This window comes from Homo sapiens, chromosome 1 (genome assembly GCF_000001405.40).
Source record: "Homo sapiens chromosome 1, GRCh38.p14 Primary Assembly".
In the NCBI taxonomy this organism is placed as follows: Eukaryota; Metazoa; Chordata; class Mammalia; order Primates; family Hominidae; genus Homo; species Homo sapiens.
The window spans coordinates 152,921,094-152,928,203 of record NC_000001.11 but is presented as its reverse complement, the minus strand read 5'-3'; the positions used below and the strand labels follow the sequence as shown (position 1 = coordinate 152,928,203).

General features: G+C 39.7%; 2 annotated features.

Moving 5' to 3' along the window:
* Nucleotides 1,829-1,908: a silencer, noted in NCBI's record as "silent region_1336". NCBI's record gives its function as "represses an Ori minimal core promoter by ATAC-STARR-seq in GM12878 lymphoblastoid cells {active_cell/tissue: GM12878}" and the evidence as "EXISTENCE:reporter gene assay evidence [ECO:0000049][PMID:35858748]".
* Nucleotides 1,919-1,968: a silencer, noted in NCBI's record as "silent region_1335". NCBI's record gives its function as "represses an Ori minimal core promoter by ATAC-STARR-seq in GM12878 lymphoblastoid cells {active_cell/tissue: GM12878}" and the evidence as "EXISTENCE:reporter gene assay evidence [ECO:0000049][PMID:35858748]".

Here is a 7,110-nt window from a genome sequence, read left to right as displayed (position 1 = left end):
CATTTTTTATGGCTGCATAGTATTCCATGGTGTATATGTGCCACATTTTCTTAATCCAGTTTATCATTGTTGGACATTTGTCTTGGTTCCAAGTCTTTGCTATTGTGAATAGTGCCGCAATAAACATACGTGTGCATGTGTCTTTATAGCAGCATGATTTATAGTCCTTTGGGTATATACCCAGTAACGGGACGTCTGGGTCAAATGGTATTTCTAGTTCTAGATCCCTGAGGAATCGCCATACTGACTTCCACAATGGTTGAACTAGTTTACAGTCCCACCAACAGTGTAAAAGTGTTCCTATTTCTCCACATCCTCTCCAGCATCTGTTGTTTCCTGACTTTTTAATGATTGCCATTCTAACTGGTGTGAGATGGTATCTCATTGTGGTTTTGATTTGCATTTCTCTGATGGCCAGTGATGATGAGCATTTTTTCATGTGTTTTTTGGCTGCATAAATGTCTTCTTTTGAGAAGTGTCTGTTCATGTCCTTTGCCCACTTTTTGATGGGGTTGTTTGTTTTTTTCTTGTAAATTTGTTTGAGTTCATTGTAGATTCTGGATATTAGCCCTTTTTCAGATGAGTAGGTTGCAAAAATTTTCTCCCATTTTGTAGAACCAAGGCAATTTTTGAGGCTCCTGTCTTCTCCCTTACCTGGGATCCTTATCAGAACCCAGCGAGGGGAGCAGGATACACATGTATATTATAAATGTATATTCTAAACTTAGTCAAGAAGAAACTAGTGTTTAGTAAGGTAGCTATGATCTACTTACTCATGACAAATGCAGATCTCTTTGCCATGTATTGTACATCATGGTTTTTCTGGAAAAGTGCATCAATTTAAAAAGTATGTTTTTGTCCATCTAAGCACATTCAACTCTGTTAGACCATAGATGCCCATGTGAGATCCAGAGGAGAGGGTCACTGTAGCCACATGGCCTCTTGCCAGAGGACTTTCTCCTGATGCCTGTCTCCCTAGCAGTGCTTCTGCCTCAGACCAGTCCTACTGCATTTTAACATGAACTTCATCCTGTTATCCCACTGCTGCCCCTCAGAGTTCTTGAACAATCTGGTGCTGCCCTGCTGTCCAGTAAGAGTAAGCATGAGGCTGGCAGGATCTGTCTTTCCACATGGGCTGGAAATCATCCACTTACTTGATTTTCAGCTCCCTTATGCCTATTGCAAAAGAATTATGGAAGGACGTAGTGGATACAAAATATTATCAAGGTCAGCCTGCATCTCTATTTTATCTCCCTTGGCTTCCTGAGCTCCAACAAACTAAACCATTAATTCCAGTCACACCCACAGTGTCCCTCCAACCCCATCTAGGCCTAACTCAGTTCCCTCTGGGGCTCTGCTCCATCTTCTTTTGGTATTCATCCCCCAGTACCTATTCTTCAAAGCCCAGTTCATATACCATCTCCTTCAGAAAGGTGCATGAGCGTACCCTAAGCCTCTGTGGGATTTCCCACCTCAGTGCCCAAAGCATTGTATAGGCATGAGCTCTGGATTTGGACAACTGGGTTTGAATTTCAGTGGCTAGCTGGGTGACCTTGACCAAGCAACTTGTCCTTCTGAACCTCAGTGTCCTTGTCTCTCAGATGAGGAGGATAATCATACCAAATCATGGCATTGTTGCACCAGAAAGTTGAGATCATGCATGTAAAGCCTTTGACACTGACTGACGTGTGGCAACACTCAATAAATGGGGCACAGTTATTGTTAGTAAAAGTACTTTATGCATTTGTTTCATATCCTTGCTCTGTCTGAATCCTTCAGGGCACAAATTTCCTTATTCATCACCGTTTTCTTGGAGGTGTCTCACGCAGACCCTGGATGCCCAAGCTTTGCATTTAGGAGCCTCCCTCAGGTGAAGCCCTTTTCTCTCGGTCCTGCAATTCTACATCACAGCCCTAGAGGGTAGCAAGAGATCACAGATACTTTGGAAGGCTAGCAGGCATCCTGAGTGCTCTTCCTCTTGGCTAGCTTTTACCAGTGGTGAGCCACCCATTATAGCTTCTTGCTCAAACTGTATTTTTATTCCTTTGTGCTAGGAACATCCCAAAAGCAACAAGCCAAAGCCTATCATTGTAGTCCTTTGGGGCAACCTCCTCATTTCCCCACAGACACAGTTTGCTTTAGCTGGTAAGTTAATCAAAATCAGTTAGGATTTCCTAGTACAGAATATGTGCCCTTTACTGGGTTTCATTTTAAGGGATTAAATGGGTTCAAGAATGCAAAATGCTTTGAAAAATTCCTAACACATAAGAAAGAAGCAAAGTCTGTTTTCATGGTCTAATTAGACATGAGTAAAAGGCACAGAGGAAAACAAAAGGAACTTCTGAAATCCCAAATATGCTGTGTGAACCACTGCTTTCATTTGCTGAGCCCCTTTCGTGTGCTAGACACTAACCTAAGTACTTTGCAAGTGTTATTTAATAACGAAACCAATGCTGAAAGGTCAATATTTTTGTCTGCATTTTAATAATGAAGAAACAGATCAGAGATATGATGTAGCCTGCCCAGGATCACATAGAATGTAAGCAGAAGAGCTGGGTTCAATCTCAAGTGTGTGACTCCAGCAGACATCCTTTTAACCTCCACAGCAGTGCCTCACCTGGTCAGCTTGTTTTGTTTGCTTATAAATTATTTATTATTTTTATTATTTCCGTTACCTAGCAGAATGGTCCAAATGTTGATTTCTGAGGCATAAGAGCCAATGTTGTCCTTCCTATGTGTGATATTGTGGCATTACCGTAACTTTTACTCCTGGACAGGACAGTCTGGAGGAGATTTTTAAATGCTTGGAACTAAACAGTAGCATAAATATTGCATATCAGAACTCACTAGATATACAGAAAAAGCAATAAAAGTAAGGAGAATTAAGACTTTAAAAGTTTATATAAAATATGAAAGGCTGAAAATTAATGATCTAATACAGGAAAGTGGAATTAAAAAATAAATGCTAAAGAAAGTATATGTAGGCCGGGCGCGGTGGCTCACGCCTGTAATCCCAGCACTTTGGGAGGCAGAGGCGGGCGGATCACGAGGTCAGGAGATCGAGACCATCCCGGCTAAAACGGTGAAACCCCGTCTCTACTAAAAATACAAAAAATTAGCCGGGCGTAGTGGCGGGCGCCTGTAGTCCCAGCTACTTGGGAGGCTGAGGCAGGAGAATGGCGTGAACCCGGGAGGTGGAGCTTGCAGTGAGCCGAGATCCCGCCACTGCACTCCAGCCTGGGCGACAGAGCGAGACTCCGTCTCAAAAAAAAAAAAAAAAAAAAAAGAAAGTATATGTAAGAAAATACTAAATATAAAATGAAAAATTAATAAAATAAAAGACAAAGATATATTATATGAATCGACTAAGCCAAACCGATTCTTTGAAAAGGTGAAAAAAATAGTCAAAATTAAAAATGTTGACCAAGATAAAAAAGAGAAAAAAGTTAATATGGAAAGTTAAAAAAGGGTTGTAACTATAATTAAAACAGAAATTACAAAAAGAACCGAATTTGTAATAAATCTCAGACTTAAATGAGAAAGAGAAAACATTAGGAAGATTAATCAGTTGCTGTTGAACTTTCTTACTGTAGAGAGACTTTATTCAAAAGGATTATTGCAAGGAGGGAAATGGACCATTGCAATAGGAAGACACTCTGATTATAAGGTCCATAAATATCTCCTGTCAAACTTTCTAGATGTCTACAGTCTAACATTTTTTATGCCCTTCCTCCTGTTTTCTCAGCTCACCATTTTACCCAGGCTGTAGCTATGGCAACCACCTATGCTGAGGAGTATCCCACAGCACCTCACTTCAGCTGCACTAGGTGTCTCTCACATCTGCCCCAGGGCTCTTGACAGCCAGGCTGTGGAACACTCACAGCCGACTACTCAGTCATGCTGGTGGAAGCACAGGGTGGAAACGTGAGGAGGTTAACATCCTCCAGACAACCACTGGTTACTAGACATAGGAGTACACAGAGAGCAAGCATTCTTTTCAGTATCTCCAGCAAACAGTTCTAATATATGTTCTAGATGGCCCTTGGAAACTTCAGGGTGCGGTTTAGCCTGTTATCCACAGGAATACACAGCTCAACAGCACACCATTGGACTGACTTTCTCTCTCTATTGTTTTATTCTTCCTAGTGGCCCTGACTTCTGCTATTTGGGGTCACATCTCAAAATAAACTACTTGTACCTATTCACTTGTCGCAGACTGTGCTTCTTCAGGGAACCAACCTAAGACAGCTCTCTGAAATGTTTTAAAAGTTCTGCACTGCTCGTTACACTTTTAAGTTGAAGTCTTAATTTTTTTTTAATTATATGTGTAGTTACAAAGGATGCAGTTTTTATACTGTATATGTTAGTTCACTTCAATAAAATTATTATATTATTTTAAAGACATTTTAATGGTAATTTAAAACATATAAATGAACAGAATAGTAGAATAAATCACGTGTACATCAACTAGGTTTAATAACTTTCAAATTATGGACAACGTTGTTCATTTTATCTCTCTTACCACTTGCCTCCTACAGTGTTACTTTTAGCAAATCACAGACTCATGTCATTTCATCTCTTTATATCTATAAATACTTTTTTCAGTAGTTATGTTAAATATTATCACACCTTGAAAATACTAGCTAACATCTTTATACTAGGAAATATCCACTCAGTGTTCACATTTCCAATTATGCTACAAATCATTAATTTACTAATGACTTATTTGAAATGACATCAAAATAATGTAGATACATTTTTATTAATTAATACATCTATATATCTCTTAAGTTTATTTTGATCTAAAGGTTCCCAGTTTATTTCTTTTGTCCCTTTGCAATTTTTTATTAAAGAAACCATACTATTTGTCATATGGAGTTTTTCAGTCTGGATTTTGCTGACTTCATTCTCATGGTGTTGTTCAACACCACTTAGGTTTGGGTATCCTTTTGCTTTCATTTGTTTCTATCTGATGCTTCTTCAGATGAATGTGTTTGGCAACTGAATTTGCTATGTCCTCACATGCACAAAGCCTGAAGTACCAGATATTTTATGTCTCCCTGGAGTGGCCCTTAGCCAATGACTTACAGGTACGAGAGTATCACAGCCTAGCTTTCTTGTCTCATATCAATACAGCTTTTCTTTTACATTCCAGAGTTTTCTTGCAGAATCAGGATGAAGCTACCTGCACACATGTTTGCCCAAAATGACAATCTGGTTTCCTCTCCTTCTCTGTCCTGCTACTCCTATGCCCTAACTAGTTTCTCCTGGAAGTACTGCTTTAATAAGTTATACTGCAAATAAATCCTCATCTCAGGATGTGCTTCCAGGGAACCCAAACAATGACAGTTGGTAGCTGCAGTTCTAGGAAGATTCTAGTTGTGGGATTCTGGAGTTGGCTCCCCACAGAAGAGAACAAGAACCCCTTTGCTGGTGGTAAGTGAAACAGCGATAGCCCTTGGCATGTTGTAGTGTTGTAATTATGATCTCCTGTGGTGATTTAGGGCAAGATGCAGCAAAAGGCAGTGCACTGACTTGATAAATAACTTTGACGTTTGAGAGATATGGAAGAAATGGACAAAGGGCTTGGCTAATGTTTCTGGATGCTCTTGATGTTTTAAAGAGAAAAAGAGGACAAACTCAAGTCGTTCATTTACTATCTTAAGACGTGATATGAAAGTCAGAAGGGCTCCATAGCAGTGTTTAAAGAGAACTTCACCTCCTGCAGAGGGAAGATGGTGTTAAACACCAGGCACAGGAACTAACACTAAGCTTTATAGGAAGCTGACTTTACAGCATCCTTATGCCAAAGGCATAGGGTCCTGATAAGGAAGGAATGGGACCTCAAGACTTGGGATGGGAATATATTCATGGATGTGCTTGATATACCTGATTTTTCTCAGCCTATAGAAGTGGTCCTTCTTGGATAGAAGATATCAATCCCTACATCCCATTGGCTGAACTGAAACAGGTGCCTTGTAAGACAATACTTATCTAACTCAAGATCTGGCCCCACCTCCTTTCTTGGGTATTGGTTCAAGTCTTAGCAGAGCCAATTGGGTTAGTACTTGTCCTGCTAAGGGAGAGAATTATTCACTGAAGGATCTGCAGGGCCTGGATAATATGGACCAGCACAGGTTGGGATTCCCTAGGAGAGGATCTTGAGTGTGTTAAATCATATGATGTGGAGTATGAGAATGATTAGGGGAATAATTCCTGATATGGGGGCAATACATATGACTCAGTTTCCTAAATAAAGTCTTTATATGCTTCCAGGATGCCTTTTGGAACTCAGAAAAACTTATGGCCCATATTAAATGAGACGGAGATTCCAGAACCATCTTGGCAGAATATTGAGATAAAGATAAAAAGGTTGAGAGGCAGGTGTGTAAGAACAGATCTATTACATAATCCTGAAACTCAGAAACTGTGTATGTTTTTCAAGAGGTCGCAGAAGACACTTATTTCATTAAAGTTACAAGAAATGTGCTGGTGATTGGGTGGGCCGTACTATCATTATTGAGAGGCCCAATTGTGGCTGTCCTTTATTGCCTTGGTCTGAGGTAGGAAATGCTGATTGAACTAGATTCCATAGTGTCAATGAGAATGAAAGGACAATAAGGGAATAACAGAGGGTAGATTGTGTTAGTTAACCATCAGAGGCAAAGTAGATGTGACTACCATCATGGCCAACAAAATTGGAATGTCAGAATAATCACTAAGATGTCCTGACCCACAGGGGTCTAGAGCAATGGATAGTAGAATATGGTCTTATTAGGGACAAAATAGGTGGGAAGTCATTAGGGACATTACACACATGTGCCACATACAGATGCTCCTCAATTTATGATGGGGTCATGTTCCCAATAAACCCATTGTAAGTTGAAAATATCACAACTTGAAAATGCATTGAATCTATCTAACCCACAAAACATTATAACTTAGTCTAGCCACCCTTAAATGTGCTCAGAACACTCACATCAGCTTACAGTTGGGCAAAATCATCTAACGCAAGCCTATTTTATAATAAAGTGTTAAATATCTCATGTAATTAATTGAATGCTATGCTTAAACTGAAAAAAATGGTTAGATGAATACTTGAAGCACTTG